Genomic DNA, 19845 nt, shown 5'->3' with positions numbered 1-19845 from the left:
GAGTCTGGAACTTGTTGCCTGATTTGAAGAACTGCAGCCCCCTCCACATACTAGCTATGGGACCTTGGATAAAAATTTTAACTCTCTGTGCCTTGGTTTCCTTATCTATGGTCATAATAATAATAACACCCTAAACAGTAGATTCAGGGTTGCTGTGAGGATTAAATGAATTCATTTATGTAAAATATGCAGAATAATGCTGGCACTTAGTACATACTGTGTTAACTGATGAAAGTATTTAATACTCACAGAAACCCTGTGAAGTAGGTATTATTACTGTCTTCATTTAAAAACTGAGGAAATTAGGCTTACCTGCCCAAAGCTGCAAGCAAGTAACTGGCAGAACTGAGACTTAAACCTGTTCATGCTCTTAATGACCCTCTAATATTCCTCCTAATCATTATTTTTAAATAAGATTTTGAATAGGAGAATCTAAATAGCCAAATACATAATTCCCAGAGGTTAAATTAGCTGATTCAATTGCTTTATTTTCAAGACAAATTTTAGGATATATCCCATAAAACAGTTATTTCTATAGTGAAGGGAAAATGCATTACAGCCACAGGATGACACTGATACAAGTTCTAACTAGTATCAATAATACAACATTAACAAAACAAAATTTTCAACAAAATTATCTGAAAGCAATTTTGAGAGTCAGCACTACTTGCAAGAAATCACAATCTGGTCTAGTCACTGATGATATATTTGTTTCAATTTTTATTTGCTTTATTTATTTTTTATTATTATTGTTTGAGACAGGGTCTCATTCTGTCACCCAGGCTGGAATGCAGTGGCATTATCATAGCTTACTGCAACCTAGAACTCCTGGCCTCAAGAGATCCTCCCACCTCAGCCTCCCAATGTGCTGGGATTACAGGCGTGAGACATAGCTCAAATTTTTTATTTTTTATTTATTTAATTTAATTAATTAATTAATTAATTTATTTATTTGAGAGACTGGAGTGCAGTGGCGCAATCTCGGCTCACTGCAAGCTCCGCCTCCCGGGTTCACACCATCCTCCAGCCTCAGCCTCCCGAGTAGCTGGGACTACAGGCACCCACCACCACACCCGGCTAATTTTTTTTTATTTTTAGTAGAGACGGGGTTTCACTGTGTTCGCCAGGATGGTCTCAATCTCCTGGCCTTGTGATCTGCCCGCCTCGGCCTCCCAAAGTGCTGGGATTACAGGCGTGAGCCACTGTGCCTGGCCCCAACATAGCTCAAATTTTAGAAGCCACAAAAGGGTATAATGTGCCTCCTGCCCTCTCTCTGCAGGTAACCAATATTACCAGTTTCCTGGGTGTCTTTACAAAGATGTTCTATGCATACACATGCAGACATATATGTTTCTTCTCTTTCCAAAACATCCTTTTGGTTTTTACATAAATGATAGCATATATGTACTGTTCTTTACTTGCTTTTCGTACTTAAGAACGTATTTTGGCTATCATGCCACATCTTCAGATGAAGAGTGGAGTTAAGAATATGCCACCCCAAAATACACCACTCTGGCACACTGACAACTTTGAGTTAAAGGCACTTGAAAAACCACACGTACAAGAAGATCACTCTGGCCTTCATGCTGTTTCTTCTTTTTTTTTGAAATGGGGTCTTGTTACATGCCCAGGATGGTCTCAAACTCTTGGGCTCAAGCGATCTTCCCACTTCAGCCTCCCAAGTAGCTGTGATTACAGGCACGTGCCACAGTGCCTGGCTCATGCTGCTTTTTAAAAGCAGGAGATGAAATTCCCATTTGAAAGATGCCCTCCCAGAACAACAGACACTGAGACTTACTTAAAAATGGAGGGTAGGAGGAGGGAGAGGATCAGAAAAAATAACTACTGGGTACTAGGCTTAGTGCCTGGGTGACAAAATAATCTGTATAGCAAACCCCTATGACACAAGTTTGCCTATATAACAAACCTGCACATGTACCCCTGAACCTAAAATAAAAGTTAAAAAAAAAAAAGAAAAGATGCCCTCCCTGTACTAGAAGGAAAATAACATTGTTATCACCAAGGATTAATAGTTGAGACTGAATTCAAATAACTCTTATCTTCTAGCCTCCTCACATCATTTAGTTACTTTTTCACAACTTACTACTTTTTGTCCGATTCAGCATGTAAGTGTTCAACTCTGAGTCTCTGGATCTTCATTTCCTTATAGCGGCTCCTATGTCATGTAGAACTTATATTAAATAAATTTATATGCTCTTCTCCTATTAATTTATCTCATGTCAATTTAATTCTCAGGCCCAGCTGAAAAACCCTGAGAGTAAAGGTAAAATTTTGCCTCCCCTACAGGAGAGCTTTGTAATTTTTTTAACATTTACCTAGTATTTCGCTTTATGGATATACCACAATCTAATTAGATCAATCTTTTGCTACTCTAAAAAATGCTGCAATGAGCAATGACAAACAGTATTTATTTTTTTAAAAAATCCAGTTGTCATAACAATACTGCTTTCATTAGTAAAATTACAGGAGTTTCTGGAACTTGTCAGTAAGCTATTTAACTATACATTTAAAAAAATGGTTCATGGAAGGGCCGGGCATGGTGGCTCACGCCTGTAATCCCAGCACTTTGGGAGGCCGAGGCAGGTGGATCACGAGGTCAGGAGTTTGAGACCAGCCTGACCAACATAGTGAAACCCTGTCTCTACTAAAAATATAAAAATTAGCCAGGCGTGGTGGTGCGTGCCTGTAATCCCAGCTACTCAGGAGGCTGAAGCAGGAGAATCACTTGAACTTGGGAGGCGGAGGTTGCAGTGAGCCGAGATTGTGCCACTGCACTCCAGCCTGGGTGACGAAGCGAGACTCCCTATCAAAAAAAAAAAAAAAAAAAATAGGTTCGTGGAAATAAGAAATTCATTTACTTTAGAAACTCTGATCCAGAGCTATGAGGTTGCACCCAGAGTATTTGTGGAATAATATAAACACGAGGTTCCTTCAAAGAAAATAAATAAATAAATACATAAAAACATAAAAATAGGCTGGGCATGAGAGCTCGTGCCTGTAGTCCCAGCTACTCAGGAGGCTGAGGTGTAGGGACCACTTGAGCCTGGGAGGTTGAGGCTGTAGTAAGCAATGATTTTACCAGTGTGTTCCAACCTAGGGAACAGAGCAAGACGGAAGGAAGGAAAGAAGGGAGGGAGGGAGGGAGGGAGGGAAGGAGGGAGGGAGGCAGGCACTATGTTTCTTGCTTTCTAAGTACATAACAATGAAGAAATATTTTTGCAAAAACAAATGATATGTCAAAAATTAACTGTTAGGGGCTAGGCATGGCAGCTCACATCTGTAATCTCAGCACTCTGGGAGGCTAAGGCGGAAGGATCCTTTGGGGAGTTCAAGTTCAGCCTTGGCAACATAGGCGAGACTCAGTCTCTACAAAAAATTTAAAAATTAGCCAGGCATGGTGGCACACACCTACAGTCCCAGCTACTCGGGAAGCTGAGGCAAGAGAATCACTTAAGCCCAGGAGTTCAAAGTTGCAGTGAGCTATGATTACACAATTGTACTCAAGCCTGGACAACAGAATGAGACCCTGTCTCTTAAAAAAATAAATTTTGTTTAACTGTTAGACAAAGAAAAAATAAATGTTTGAGGCGATGGATACTGCAGTTACCCTGACTTGATAATAATTATACATTGTATACATATAGTAAAAATATCACATGTACCTCAAAAATACGTACAACTATTATACATCAATTTAAAAAAAAACATTATTACTTTTCCATAAAGAAAGGAATATTTTTTAAAAAATCTCTGCATTATAAAGCAATTTAAGATTGATACAAGAAAAGCCTTCACCCACCTCCCTCTTAAAAACATGAACAAGATTACAGCTGCACAATCTGAAACTAAGCCTCCCTTATTAATGATAAGATGCTAGTTCTAAAAGCCACAGTGGCCACTGAAGAGAGATCAGCTTATCAGTAAAAACACCCATGCAGAGCAACACACATGCTCTCTCCTTATACAAGAATAAAATTTTAAACTTATACTTGAATCTGTGTGCTTGTTCCAAGATTTATTTACATTTCAGATGCAGCATTATAATAAAAAAGAAGGAATATCTTGGTAGATAGGAGAAAAAGAAAGCCATCAGGTTTAACTACAGTTAAATCATGTGAAAAGCAAATAAAAACCTAAGGTAAGAAATTCTGGGCAAAAGGAGATACTTAAAATGTTTCCAGGACCTATTGTTCCATCTTCTAAAAATAGTCTGTCAAAAAAATCCCTGATGTTATTATTACACATTGCATCCCTGTATCAAAATATCTCATGTATTCCATAAATAGATACACCTACTATATACCCATAAAAATTAAAAATAAAAAAAATCTGATAAGACAAAAGAATAATTAAGAAAAATGTCACCTAAAAAACCCTCTGAAACTTAATTCAAAACAAAGGCAGCCATAGGCAGCTTTCTTCACTACGTATCTACTCCTAATTCATAAAATTAGCTTTTATCGAGTATTACATTCCAGGGCATTTGTTAACTTATACACATTATTTAATTTTCCCAGGTAAGAAATGAAGGTGTTAAGGAATACCCTAAAATTTGGTTTAGAAAAATAATATAAAATAAAATATTTCCCATTTTTGTATTTGGTGAAGTGGTTCCCAAACGACAGATAGTAGAAGCTTCCTAAAGACTCCAGAGCCGTCGTTCTTAACCAGCAGCACACAGCTGAACTACCTTGGGTGCTTACAAAGCTTTTCAAATGCTTGGGCCCCAACTGGGTAATTTTTAAATTACCAATTTGAAAAATAATAATAATTATAAAAGTAGTACATAGTGGTGGTAAAAAATAATTCAAACAATACTAGAGAGGATATAAAATTAAAAGTAAGCCATGCGCGATGGCATGCACTTATAGTCCCAGCTATTTAGGAGGCTAAGGCTGGAGGATTGCATGAGTTTGAGATTAGCCTGGGCAACATGTCAACACTGCATCTAAAAAAACAAAAACAAAACAAAAACAAAACAAAAAAACCCTCTAAGTCCTCCTAACCCAACCTCCCACTGTTAATGATTTCTTCTGTACATTATATATTTTTAATTTACAAAGGAGATGACCATTTACATGCTCTGCAAATGCCTTATAAAATATCTTAGCATCTCTCCATATCAGTACATATTATGGGTCTACCTTGGTCTGCCTGTCTTTTGTTTTTGGAGACAGAGTCTTGCTCTGTCACCCAGGCTGGAGTGTGGTGATCATAGCTGACTGCAGCCTTGAATTCCTGGGCTCATGCAATCCTCCTGCCTCAGCCTCCCAAGTAGCTGCAACTATAGGCACATGCCACCACACTCAGCTAATTTTTAAATTTTTTGTAGAGAGAGAGTCTTACTACTGTGTTGCCCATGTTAGTCTCGAACTCCTGGGCTCAAGCAATGCCCCCATCTCGGCCTCCCAAAGTGTAGGATTATGAGCATGAGCCACTGCACCCGGCCACCTTGGTCTTTCAATAGCTGCCTAGCATTCCATTGTTCAAAAGCATATTATCACTTATTTCATCACTGTCTTGTTGACATTTAGATTACCTTTTTGTTGTTGTTGTTGTTGTTACAATTAACACTGCAGTGAACATCCTTAAGCATCCATATTTTACTATCTTTTTGTGAGTATATCTGTGTGGTAGACGAATTCTAAAATGACCTGCATTGACCTACATCTTTGTATGTATAATCCACTCCTCTTTCAGTGGATGAAAACTGTAAGTATGATGAGACTCCCATTATTTTGTCCCATTATATGGCAAAAGAAAGATTATCTTGGGAGGGCCTGATCTAATCAGGTGAACATTTATTTACTTATTTATTTATTTTTAGGGACAGGGTCTCACTCTGTCACCCAGGCTAGAGTGCAGTGGCACAATCATAGCCCACTGTAATCTCAAACACCCAGGCTCAATCTATCCTTCAGTCTCAGCTTCTTAACTGGCCGGGACTACAGGCTTGTACCACCATGCAGGCTGACTGAATTCTAGTTTTTTAATTTTCTTTTTGGCAGAGAGGAGGTCTCACTATGTTGCCCAGGCTGGTCTTGAACTCCTGGCCTCAAGTGATCCTCTCCCCTTTGGCATCCCAAAGTGCTGAAATTACAGGCATGAGCCACCATGCCTGACCTAAGGTGAGCCTTTTAAAAACTGAGTGAGGGTTTTTTTCCAGCTAGCTGATCACAGAAGAGAAGGTCAGAGAGATGCATTCAGGCCGGCCTGGAAAAAAGCAAACATTCATATTGGGAACTACCACTGGTGGCGACATGTTACCGAACTGCAAGCAGTATCTGGAAGCTAAGAGTCATCCCTGGTCAACAACTAACAGGACAACAGGGACCTTAATCCTACAGTTACAAGGACTGCCAACAAGTGACCTTGGATAAAGACCCTAAGCCCCAGATGAGAACTGAAACCCTGGCAACACCTTGATTTCAGTGAGATCCTATACAGAGAATCTAGCCACACTGTGGCCTGGACTTCTGACCTACAATAACTATGAGATAATAAATGTGTTCTTTTTAGCCACTAAATTTGTGATAATTTTTTATGCAGCATTTAAAAAGTAACACAATCTGCATAATAAATTCCTACAAATGAAATTGCTAGATCAAGGGGACATGCACTTAAAATTTATAAATATATTACAAAATTGCTCTTCAAATACCTCACATCTTTGTTGTTGTTGTTGTTGTTGTTGAGACAGGGTCTCACTATGTCTCCCAGGCTGGAGTGTAGTGGTGATCACAACTCACTATAGCCACAAACTCCTGAGCTCAGGTGATCCTCCCACCTCAATCAGCCTCCTGAGTAGCTGGGACTATAGGTAAGTGCCTCTATGCACAGCTAATTTTTTGTGTTTTATTTTGTAGAGATGGGATTTCAACATGTTGACCAGGCTGGTCTTGAACTCTTGGGCTCAAGTGATCCACTCACCTGAGCCTCCAAAAGTACTGGGATTACAGGCATGAGCCACCATGCTCAACTTACACCAATTTAAACATCCACCAACAGTAGATTTAAAACTTCCTGGTAATTAGCTGCTGATTTAAAGTGTTTATTCCAGTAAGTCACCAAGGGCTGGAAGGATTTGTATCTTGCCCTCTTGCAGCTGACTTTTGACAGAGGGACTTTTTAAGAAGTGATTATCCTCTAAAATTTCTTTTAATAACAAAGACCTTTTCTTTGAGGCTCTACTAGGAGGGATGTTTTCATTACAACTACTATCTCCAATGTAAGAAGATACTGGTAGCAAGAATTCATATGAGCATATGAAACACTATAAATAGCAATCTACCTATCAGTAAAGGGATCTGTGGCAGATTAATAAACTTTGAGTCTCTGAAAACAAATGTAAAAGTTTTTTTAACTTTGAAAATTATTTTTGGAATAAAAGTTTAAATATTTTATAATATATTTTTCTAAGATAATAATCTGCAGAAAAATCTGGATACAAAATGAAATCCATGATCAAAATATCAACCATATGAACACTAAAGTATATTTATATATTCAGGATTCGTTAAAAGGGGTAGATTTTAGAGCCAGATGGGACCCAAGATATTTAGTTTAGCTTCCTTATTTTATAGAGAATATGCTAAAATTTTAGAAGTCAAAACAGGTAAAATTTTGCTTTTATTTCAGTACTTTCATCACAAAAATAAAAAATTTTTTTGGCGTATAACCCAATATACATATTTTCTGGAAGACTACTTTAGAGTATGCCAAAAGTCTTTAAAATGTGCCTGCCCCCTAACCCAGAAATTCTTTTTCAAGAGTGTGTTCTAAACATACAAATCACAGATGCTCATTCATTCAAATGAACTCAACCAATATTTACTAAGCAACTTCTATGAGCAACTAATACTGTTGTGGGTGTTGGGGAAAACAACAGTGAACAAAACACACCCCTGCTAGCATGGAGCTTACATTCTGGTGGCAGAGAAAGACAGTCAACAAATAAATACACATAAATCTCAGGTGTTGATAAACACTATGAAAAGAAACAGGGTATGAGGGTAAAATGATGAGATTATGATTTAGAAAAGCAACTAGAGGAGAAAATCTCGGAATAAATGACATGAATGAAATAGAATGTATGTCTTATACGCAGATAGAGATCTGGGAAAAGAAGAACTAAAAATGCAAATGCCCTGGGGCAGGATCTCCCAAACATCCCCAACATAGTCAGCATCATACTGTTTGTTAGTGAGCAGCCAATTATGAGTACTAGATGCTAGTCAAGGAAATCTACGAGTTTGTTTTTTTGAGATGGAGTCTCGCTGTATTGCCAAGGCTGGTGTAGAACTCCTGGGCTGAAGGGATCGTCTAGCCTCAGCCTCCCACCATGTTATCTGTTTTTTAAAATCAGCTAGTAATGTTTTGACTTTCTTTTTTTTTTCTTTTTTTTTTTGAGACGGAGTCTTGCTCTGTTGCCCAGGCCGGACTGCGGACTGCAGTGGCGCAATCTCGGCTCACTGCAAGCTCCGCTTCCCGGGTTCACGCCATTCTCCTGCCTCAGCCTCCCGAGTAGCTGGGACTACAGGCGCCCGCCACCGCGCCCGGCTAATTTTTTGTATTTTTAGTAGAGACGGGGTTTCACCTTGTTAGCCAGGATGGTCTCGATCTCCTGACCTCATGATCCACCCGCCTCGGCCTCCCAAAGTGCTGGGATTACAGGCGTGAGCCACCGCGCCCGGCCTGTTTTGACTTTCAAAATAATTCTATTTCTTTTTTTTTTGAGTCGGAGTCTCGCTCTGTTGCCCAGGCTGGAGTACAGTGGCAGGATCTCACCACAACCTCCATCTCCCGGGTTCAAGCCATTCTCCTGCCTCAGCGTCCTGAGTAGCTGGGATTACAGGCACGCACGACCACACCCGGCTAATTTTTGTATTTTGAGTAGAGACAGGGGTTTCATCATGTTGGCCAGGCTGGTCTTGAACTCCTGACCTTGTGTTCCACCTGCCTTGGCCTCCCAAAGTGCTGGGATTGCAGGCGTGAGCCACCGCACCCGGCCAATAATTCTACTTTTATATTAAACTTATTTTTACTATTACAGCAGTAGTCACAGTTAGAAACAACCTAAATATCCTATGATTGTTACTAAATTGGCTACATATATGATTGTGTGTTCGTAAGATGGAATACTTTAAAAAAACTAAAATAACACTTACAAACCATGTTGTCAAAAATACTTAATGATATGGAAAAAATGCTACTACATTAGGTGAAACAGAAATGTATTAAACAGTACATATGAGCCCAATTTTATTTGTAAAATATATACAGATATATGTATACCTGAACTATTTCATAATAATAAAAAAGAATGGAAGACCATATTTCAAATAGTGTGATAACAGTGATTACCTCTAAGTGGCATGATTATGGACACTTTTATTTTATTTTATTTTTTGAGATGGAATCTTGCTTTGTCGCCCAGGCTGGAGTAGAGTGGCGTGATCTTGGCTCACTGCAACCTGATTATGGACACTTTTATCTTCTTTAGACTTCTCTGTGCTTTCCAAATATCCCGAATTATTTATTTTATAAACAAGGGGGAACCCAAAAGTTATTTTCAAAATAAATGTTTTAGAAGATAGAATCTTAGTTCTTTGCAGGTGAAAAAAATAACAACAGGACAGGAAGCATTTAAATTCTATTAGTTTCTTTTTTCTTTCTGTTTGATTTACTTCGGACAGGTTAAAGGGTAACTAAAAAGGTTCTAGAGGAGTGATTATACTTACATTCCTGTTTGAAGGTGAAATAGTCTGTAAGATGCCTGCATTCATGATTTCCCCGAAGCAGAAACAATGTTTTGGGATGATTAATCTTTAAACTCCATAAATACAGCACACACTACAAGACAAATTCAAGCATAAAATTTTCTTTGTGACCATTATAATGCATAAACACAATTTATATAATTCAAATGACTTGCTGTAATGGCATATCTCATTGTTACTCCCAAATTGAAAAATGAAACCTTTTGAATGTGATATACTTATTGCCCTAGAATTTGACAAGCCTTCATAGAAATCTCTCTCTAATCTCTGTTCCCATGTTCTATCTAAATATCTAGAACTCTCTCAGCCACTCACACATATATATTAGTCGTAAAACCTGTATTTTACTTAATTCCAAAACACTAACGGCATTTTCACTAAGACCAGGAACAAGGCAAGAATATTTACTATCTCTGCTACTGTTCAAAACTGGTGTAAGGGTATCAGCCAATGGGATTACACCTCAATTAGAGGGTTAAGAATGGGTAAAGAAAAAATAAAACTATCTCTATTTGCAGATATAACCCCCCAAAATCAATGATAAAACTAACTCAAATAATAAAATAATTCAGTAAACTAGCAGGATATAAAATTAACATACAAAATCAATAGCCCTGGGGCACAGCGGCACACATATGGTTCCAGCTACTCAGGAGGCTAAGGCAGGGGGCTCACTTGAGCCTAGGAGTTCAAGGCTAACCTGGGCAACATAGGGAGACTCCATCTTTAAAAAAAAAAAAAATAGGGCCAGGTGCAGTGGCTCATACCTGTAATCTCAGCACTTTGGGAGGCCAAGGCGGGCAGATCACCGGAGGTCGGGAGTTCGAGACTACCCTGACCAAAATGGAGAAACCCCGCGTCTACTAAAAATACAAAATTAGCTGGGTGTGGTGGCACATGCCTGTAACCCCAGCTACTCGGGAGGCTGAGGCATGAGAATCGCTTGAACCCGGGAAGCGGAGGTTGCCATAAGCCAAGATCATGCCACTGCACTCCAGTCTGGGCAACAAGAGCGAAACTCTGTCTCAAAACAAACAAACAAAAATAGACCTTTTATACAGAAAAAATCAACAGAACATCACGGTGGAGAAATCCCCATTTGTAACAGCAACAAAGAGGCCTAAAGACACAGGAATAAATTTAACAAGAAATGTGCAAAATCCATACAAGGAAAAAATTTAAATGTCCCTATAAGACATAAAAGTAGACATGAAATAATGGAAAGACATCCCTTGTTCTTAGATAGAATAAATCAACATGAAAAGATTACAGTTCTCAGCCGGGCACAATGGCTTACACCTGTAATACTAGCACTTGGGGAGGCCGAGGCAGGTGGATCACCTAAGGTCAGGAGTTCGAGACCAGCCTGGCCAATATGGTGAAACCCCGTCTCACTAAAAATACAAAAATTAGCTGGGCGTAGTGGCAAGTGCCTGCAATCCCAGCTGCCTGGGAGGCTGAGGCAAAAGAATCACTGGAACCTGGGAGGCAGAGGTTGCAGTGAGCCAAGATCATACCGCTGCACTCCAGCCTGGGTGACAGAGCGAGACTCTGTCTCAAAAAAAAAAAAAAAAAAAAAAAAAAAAAAGATTACAGTTCTCCCTAATTTAACTTATAAGTCATGAAATTCCAAGAAAAATACAAACAAGCTATTTTATGGAGTTAGACAAGTTGACACTAAAATTAACATGGAAAAATGAACATGCAAGAAAGAATAACCAGGAAAACACTAAAAAGAGACACTATGAGGGCAGACTATCCCTACCAGATGTTAAAACATACTATAAAATGTCTATAATCAAAACAGTGGTACTGGTCCTTATGTAGATAAACATACCAGTGGAATTTTATACTACAGATATAGTATAAAAGTACCTACAAAAATTTGGTAAATAATAAAGGTGGCATCTCAAATCACAATAATAATGATGAACTTTTAAATAAATGGCTCTGGGACAAGTGGTTGCCATTTTAAAAAAAAAACATAAAGTTAGATCCACATCTCACACAAAGCACAATAAACAACAAAAGGATGAGCAATCTAAATGTAAAAAGAAAAAGCCACACAAGTTCTAGAAGAAAACATGAGTGAGTTCTTCTTAAGCCTGGTGTAGGTGAAAATTTGGTGTAGGTAAGAACTGTGTAACTAATGACTAAAAATCCAGAGGCAATAAAATAAAAGATGGGTAAATTTGACCACACAAAAATGAAAATAGGCCAGGCATGGTGGCTCACGCCTGCAATCCCAGCACTTTGGGAGGCAGAGGCAGGCAGATCACCTGAAGTCAGGAGCTTGAGACCAGCCTGGCCAACATGGTAAAACCTCTTCTCTACTAAAAATACAAACATTTGCTAGGCCTGGTGGCAGGTGCCTGTAATCCCAGCTACTCAGGAGGCTGAGGCAGAAGAATCGCTTGAACCTGGGAGGTAGAGGTTGAAGTAAGCCGAGATAGCGCCATTGCACTCCAGCCTGGAGAGAAACTCCATCCCAAAAATAATAACAATAATAATAATAATAATAATATAATTTGCATAGTAAAAAAACAATTTGGCCAAACTGACAAAACTACACATTCATTTAACTTTTGACCCACTTCTAGGAATCTACCCTGAAGATACACTTCCAACAATACGAAAATAAATATGCACAAGGCTGTAGCATGTGTGTAATAGTAAAATATTAGGAACAACCTAAATGACCATACACAGGAGAGACGCTAAGCTATGATGCACTCACACAATAAAGCACAAGGATGAGAAAGATCTCTATAAACTGATTTAGAGTGATTTCCAAGATATATTTTTAGATGAAAAAAGCAAAGTATGGCTGGGCACAATGGCTCACAAATGCAATCCCAGTGCTTTAGGAGGCCAAGGCAGGAGGATCGCTTGAGACCAGGAGTTTAAGACCAACCTGGGCAATACAGCAAGACCCCATCTCTACAAAACATTTAAAAATTAGCCAGATGTGGTGGTCACGTGCCTGTAGTCCCAGCTATTCAGGAGGCTGAGGCAGGAGGATCCCTTGAGGCGAGGAGTTTGAGGCTGTAGTGAGCTATGATCATGATCGTGCCACTGCACTCCAACCTGGGTGACGGAGTGAGACTCTTGTCTCTTAAAAAAAATAAAAAGTACAAGAGTAGCTGTAGTATGCCACCCTCTATATAATAAAGAAGATATATGAAATTCATATGTATGTATCTACTTTGTACATAAAAAATGCAGGAAAGATAAACCAGAAACTGAAGAGATTGGTTACCTATAGCAGGCATTCAGGCACTAAATAGACTATGAAAAGAATACTTGTTTAAAGCATGAGAGCTAAAACAAGAAGGGAGAGTGTGGCCTTATTTGGTCTGAGGTGGCAACATGTGCATTGGGAGACTCAAAGTAGTAGATCACTCTCCACATGTCTACCAGTGACCACAAAAGCACTGTATTGATTTTGAGTTTACAAATCAATTTTAGCAAGGAGACATAGGCATATCCACAAATACAGAACGCATGAATGATGATAATCAATTGTATACACCACTTATGAAATATTCTGTATATATTTCACAGCCTCAAAACACAAGCAAAAACTGAGAGGCTGATATGGTTTGGCAGTGTCCCCAGCCAAATCTCAACTTGAATTGTAGCTACCAGAATTCCCACACCCAGGGGACAGTAACTGAATCATGGGGGCCGGTCTTTCCTGTGCTATTCTTGTAATAGTGAAAAAGTCTCATGAGATCTGATGGGTTTATCAGGGGTTTCCACTTTTGCTTCTTCCTCATTCTTGCCACCGCCATGTAAGAAGTACCTTTTGCCTTTTGTCTCCTGCCATGATTCTGAGGCCTCCCCAGCCATGCGGATCTGTTAAGTCCAATTAAACCTCTTTTTGTTCCCAATTTTGGGTATGTCTTTATCAGCAGCATGAAAAAGAACTAATACAGAGGCCTATGTTGAGAAACAGATAAATCAATATAGTCATGCACCACATAATGCTGCTATAGTCAACAACACACCACATACAGGACAATGGTCCCATAAAATTAAAATGAACTGAAAAATTCCTACACCCTAGTGATGTAGCCATCATAATGTCTACATGCAGGCATTACTTACATGTTTGTGGTGATGCTGATGTAAAAAAACCTACTGCACTGCCAGTCATATAAAAGTATAGCACATACAATTATGTACAGTACATAATACCTGATAATAATAAATGGTACTGGTTTATGTATTTACTATACCATACTTTTAATAATTACTTTCAAGTTTGTTCCTTCTATTTACAAAAGAAAAAGGCTCATTGTAAAACATCCCCAGGCAGGTCCTTCAGGAGGGATTCTAGCAGAAGGCACTGTTATACGACATGACAGCTCCATGACTGTTACTGCCCCTGAAGGCCTTCCAGTGGGACAAGATGTGGAGGTGAAAGGCAGTGATATTGATGATCCTGACCCTCTGTAGGCCTAGATGCGTGCGCACGTGCATGTGTGTGTGTGTGTCTTCATTCTTACCAAAAAATTTTAAAAGTAAAAAAAGGTTTTAATAAAGCTTATAGAATAAGAATATAAGGAAAAAATATTTTTGTACAGCTGCATAAGTCTTAGGCCTTCACATTCACTCATAATACCACTTGTAAGCTAAGTGGTATTACAAAAGAGTCAAAAAGTTAAAAAAATTAAAAATCTTTTTTTTTTTTTGGTATACTAGGCAAAGAACTTTATTAACCTTTGTTTCAAACTTGATTCCCAGGATTCTTCAGCTTAATTAGCTGCAAAGAATGAATTGTATATAAGCAAAAACTGAAAAGAGCTGCAGTGTCCAAGGAGCTTGGGCTTAAAAATATTAGAGATCTAGATTTTATCAGATCCATAAACAAAAATTTCTTAAAAAGCAGTCATAATATAAAATAGCAGCTCCCAATAACTTCTTCAAGTTTTATCTTCAGAAGTTGACTCAATTCAGTTTGCCTCATTCTTGGAAGCCTCATCAAAATTCTCCATCTTGGAAGCCTCATCAAAATTCTCCACAAGAGCTGGAACTTCATCGTCATCCTCTCCAGTAGCAAGTGGTGCTTTTCCATTCACAGACTGTTTGGGCAGAGCTTCAGCCAGTCTCCTTAAACTAGTCAGACAGTGTGCACCAAGCTGGTTTAAGATGCTGGGTAGCATTTCCATCAGCTGCTTTGTCTCAGCATGGCCTGTAATGGTGAAAGAGTTTGCTGGCATCTCTGCTGTTAAAGTGGATCACTGTTCCTTGGTTTGTAAACATATTCACCTCTTCAATACCAGAGACATTGTTTACCTCTAACTTCTTTAAGGAGAACTGAAGTTTTTTATCATCTGCTGTGGCTGTTCTATGAACCGCCTTCTTCTTTCTGTGAACCATTTCTTTCCCACCAATGCGCACTTGTGCCTGCAGTTTGGCAAGTCTTTCCTGGCTCATAACTGTTTGTTTCATCTTCTCAGAGCAGATAAGGGGCCAACGTGGGGGGCTAGGGTTGGTGCTTGGGGGTCTCGGGTGGACCACCAGCTGAGATTAGGTGCACACACATGGGGACGCAAGATGGCAGCTCAAAATTAAAAATCTTATAAAGTAAAAAGTTACAATAAGCTAAGGCTAATTTATTATTGAAGAAGGAAAAATACTTTTTAATAAATTTAGTATAGCACAAGTGTACAGTGTTTATAAAGCATCTGGTAGTATACAGCAATGTCTTAGGCCTTCACATTCACTCATCATTCACTGATTCACCCAGAGCAACTTCCAGTCCTGTACAATCCATTCATGATAAGTACTTTATACAGGTATTCCATTTTTTCTCTTTTTTTTTTTACTGTATCTTTTCTACATCTAGATATGTTTAGACACACAATACTTACCCTTGTGTTACAACTGCCTACAGTATTCAGCACAATAACATGCTGTACAGGTTTGTAGCCTGGGAGCAACAGGCTATACCATATAGCCTAGGTGTGTAGCAGGCTATACCACCTAGGTTTATGTAAGTACACTCTATGATGATTTCACAACAGCAAAATCGGCACCCATTTCTCAGAACGTACCCTCCTTATTAAACGATGCATGACACTGTAATGGTAGTTGGAAATTTTGACACAATGCTGAAAGTAACTGATAGTTCAAGCAGACAAAAATAGTCAAAGTTATAAAGAATAGCTCAACAAGTAGAGAATATACGTTCTTTCCAAGAATATATGGGAAAATCACAAAAATCTACTCTGTACTATACCACAAGGAGTCTCAATAAATTTCAAAGAATGAGTATTATTCCAATCATTTTCTTTAATCAAATTACATCAAATCAATAATCAGTAACAAAATACTAGCTCTAAAAAAATCCCATATGACTGGAAAGAAAAAACATACTACTTCATTATTTTAGGGTTAAAGAGAATTCTTAAAATATAAAATACTGAATGATAATGAAAGCAATACATGTCCAAATCTGTGGGACTCAGATAAAGCAGCACTTAAAGGGCAATGTATAGTGACAAGTACACTATTTTCTCATTAGATTTGCAAATATGCTTGTATATGTTTAACCTATCTCTGAAAGGTCACATAAGAAACTCCTAAGAGTGAGTGCAAGAGCTGAATGGCTGGCATATGAGATGCTTAATTTCATCAGTAATTAGAGAAACATTAATTAAAACAGTAGAATACTACTTTATACCCATTATATTGGCAAGTATTATAATATGAGATAAAATCATATTCTGGAAGGAGGGATGTGAGGAAATAGGAATTCTTCAGTGCTGCTGGTAGGAATAGAGACTTGCACAGCCATTCTGAAGAGCCATCTGGCAACCAATGCTCAGTTCAAGTATGAATGCATACACCCTTTCTCCTGGCAATCCGATTTTGTTCATAAAACCTAGAGACATTAAATCATGGTAGATTTATATGAGGGTGTTCATCATAGCAGTGTTCATGTTAGAAAGAAACTGGAGGTAAACTAGGTGTCCACCAAGCAAAAGAGAAAACTAAAGTGTCATACATAAATACTGTGAAATTCTATACAGCAGGCAGAAAGCAATCAACTAGAGGCACGTATAGTAGTAACCTGGATATATCTTATCCCATTACTGGATATATACCCAAAGGATTATAAGTCATGCTGCTATAAAGACACATGCACACATATGTTTATTGCGGCACTATTCGCAATAGCAAAGACTTGGAACCAATCCAAATGTCCATCAATGATAGACTGGATTAAGAAAATGTGGCACATATACACCATGGAATACTACATAGCCATAAAAAATAATGAGTTCATGTCCTTTGTAGGGACATGGATGAAGCTGGAAACCATCATTCTCAGCAAACTATCGCAAGGACAAAAAAACCAACCACCGCATGTTCTCACTCATAGGTGGGAATTGAACAATGAGAACACTTGGACACAGGAAGGGGAACATCACACTCTGGGGCCTGTTGTGGGGTGGGGGGAGGGGGGAGGCATAGCATTAGGAGATATACCTAATGTAAATGACGAGTTAATGGGTGCAGCACACCAACATGGCACATGTATACATATGTAACAAACCTGCACGTTGTGCACATGTACACTAGAACTTAAAGTATAATAAAATATATATAAATATAAAAAAAGTGGTAAGTGAAAAAAGTCAACAGTATAAATAGCACTACAACAGTGGTTCTCAAAGTATGGTCACATTCATCTCAAAGTGTGGTAAACAGCATCACCTGGGAACCCGACAGAATACAGATTGCCAGGTTCCACCCCACGCCTGATGAGTCAGAAACAGGGTCAGGGTCCTGCAACCTCTGTTTGCACAAGCTTTCCAGGTAATAATGGTGTATGTTAACATTTCAAGACCACTGGACAGCACCATATCATTTATGTAAAATTAAAATATTTTATCTGTAAAAGCTCTATACATTAAAAAATTAATATATTAGATGTATTGGCTCAGCACGGCAGCTCACGCCTATAATCCCAGCACTTTGGGAGGCCAAGGTGGGTAGATCACGAGGTCAGGAGATCCAGACCACCCTGGCTAACATGGTGAAACCTCGTCTCTACTAAAAATACAAAAAAAAATTGCTGGGCGTGGTAGCATGCGCCTCTAATCCCAGTTACTGGAGAGGCTGAGGCAGGAGAATTGCTTGAACCTGGGAGGCAGAGGTTGCAGTGAGCTGAGATCGTGCCACTGCACTCCAGCCTGGGAGACAGAGCAAGACTCCATCTCAAATTAGTGAATATATATATATTTATTTGTTATGTATGTATATAATATATACTTACTATATATATAATATAAAATATATACTTATATATAATATATACTTATTATATATATAATATATAATATATACTTATATATAATATATAATATATACTTATATATAATATATACTTATATATAATATATACTTATTGTATATTATATGTAATATATACTTATTATATATTATATATTATATACACTATTATATATAATATATATTTGTTATATATATATATGCTGTACCTCTCACTAGAAAATACAGTAAAGGACTTTGCTTGTGCATCTCCATGTTAGATCCCTAGAATCTAACACAGGCACTGTTGACAATCTGAGAATCATTCATTCATATATACATTAGATGTATTCTGAATCATATATTAAATACAGTAGAAGCATGTGTATACTGGGGAGAGGGAGTAAGGAACTCAGAGATCACAGATAAGCACAAAAAGAATAAAACAAAAAAGAGGGACTTTGCAAAGACTGATGAGAAATGTGCCATGACCTGAGGAGCTCGATCAATTCAACTGAGACTTTCCCACCTCCTCAAAAAGGAAAGACTTTGAAATCCTGAATCCAAATGTTTCTCAGTATGCCTAATCTAATTACTGACATCTCTTACCTATATTACTAGATTAAATCCTCACTGGTCTCCCTGCACCTGCTTTTGGGCTCCAAAAGTCAACTGACCTTCTAACAGCCAAAGTAATTGTTTTAAAACATAAATGTGAATACGTCACTCCCCTGCTCAAAAAAAAAAAATTCCTCCAATAACTTCCTAGCACATTCAGAATAAAACCCAAATGCACTGACATGGTTTACTAGGCCTGACATCATCTATCTGCCCCACTCTCTGCACCTCTTCCATCTCTCCCTTACTCATTATTCTGTCTAGCCTCGATAGCCTCACTACTATACATGGACTGCCCTAGACTTGCTTCTGCCTGTAAGCTTTTACACTGGTTGTGCCTCTGCCTGGAATGTAGTTCCCCTGATCTATGCACAGCTTGTTCCCACAGGTCATTCTGTTCAACAATTGCCTCTTCAAAAGAACCTGCCCTGATCACTCCATCTAAGTTAGCTGCTCCTGTCCCGCTTTAGCTCCTTCCTCTGATTTGGTTCTCATGGATGGTAAACAAATACATGATGCTGTCCCTCTCACTAGAAAATACAGTAAAGGACTTTGCTTGTGCATCTCCCTGTTAGATCCCCAGAATCTAACACAGGCACTGTTGACAATCTGAGAATCATTCATTCTTTGTTGTTTAGGTGTCTCCTACACATTGCAGGGTATTTTGTATCCCTGAAGCCTGTTTATCAAATGCCAAAAGAAACTTTCAATCATTGTGACAAACAATTCAAACATCATTGTACGTAATTATGAGTGCATCTAAAGCATAGGTTCTGAAAAATGGAATTGTTGCATTAAAGCATATACACATTTTGAAACAGGCATTGCAAAATAATCATAAAGCTTAAACATGTAGACACATATAAATAACCTTGTGTGGCTTTATTCTTTTGAGGGGTTAAATTTCATTACCAAGATAACAATTTTCACAAAATATTCCAAGGAAAAATTATATTAAATCAATATACAAATTTAGAATGCACTTCTCTTTTCTATACCTACCTTTCCCAACCAAGAACACAATATATCTTTTGATTTATCTGGGTATACATTTGTGCCTTCTAACTCACCTTTTTGAGGTAACGAGATATATAAAGGCACAATCCACCCATAGTATAATGTCATTTGGTGATGTGCTTCT

General features: G+C 38.3%; 1 protein-coding gene, 1 long non-coding RNA gene and 1 pseudogene across 7 annotated transcripts in view; 1 reads left to right on the top strand and 2 right to left on the bottom strand.

Annotated features, from left to right (window-relative positions):
* Nucleotides 1-19845, bottom strand: part of PPP3CC (protein phosphatase 3 catalytic subunit gamma) — a 100048-nt gene that overhangs the window by 33252 nt on the left and 46951 nt on the right. For all 6 annotated transcript variants that reach the window (XR_007060744.1, NM_001243974.2, XM_047421941.1 and 3 more), the window contains exon 4: nt 9762-9873. Coding sequence is in view for 5 of the 6 variants with exons in the window: in NM_001243974.2 (NP_001230903.1) it covers nt 9762-9873 (112 nt within the window). In the remaining variant the exon portion in view is untranslated. The remainder of the gene's footprint in view (nt 1-9761; nt 9874-19845) is intronic.
* LOC124901905 (uncharacterized) overlaps nt 1-19845 on the top strand; it is a 72590-nt gene that overhangs the window by 46252 nt on the left and 6493 nt on the right. The gene's annotated exons all lie outside the window — the stretch shown is intronic.
* On the bottom strand, nt 14499-15374 carry BTF3P3 (BTF3 pseudogene 3; annotated as a pseudogene).

Source organism: Homo sapiens, chromosome 8 (assembly GCF_000001405.40).
Source record: "Homo sapiens chromosome 8, GRCh38.p14 Primary Assembly".
Taxonomy (NCBI): Eukaryota; Metazoa; Chordata; class Mammalia; order Primates; family Hominidae; genus Homo; species Homo sapiens.
Note: the sequence above shows the minus strand (reverse complement) of the source record. Positions and strands in the feature narration are given on the sequence as shown.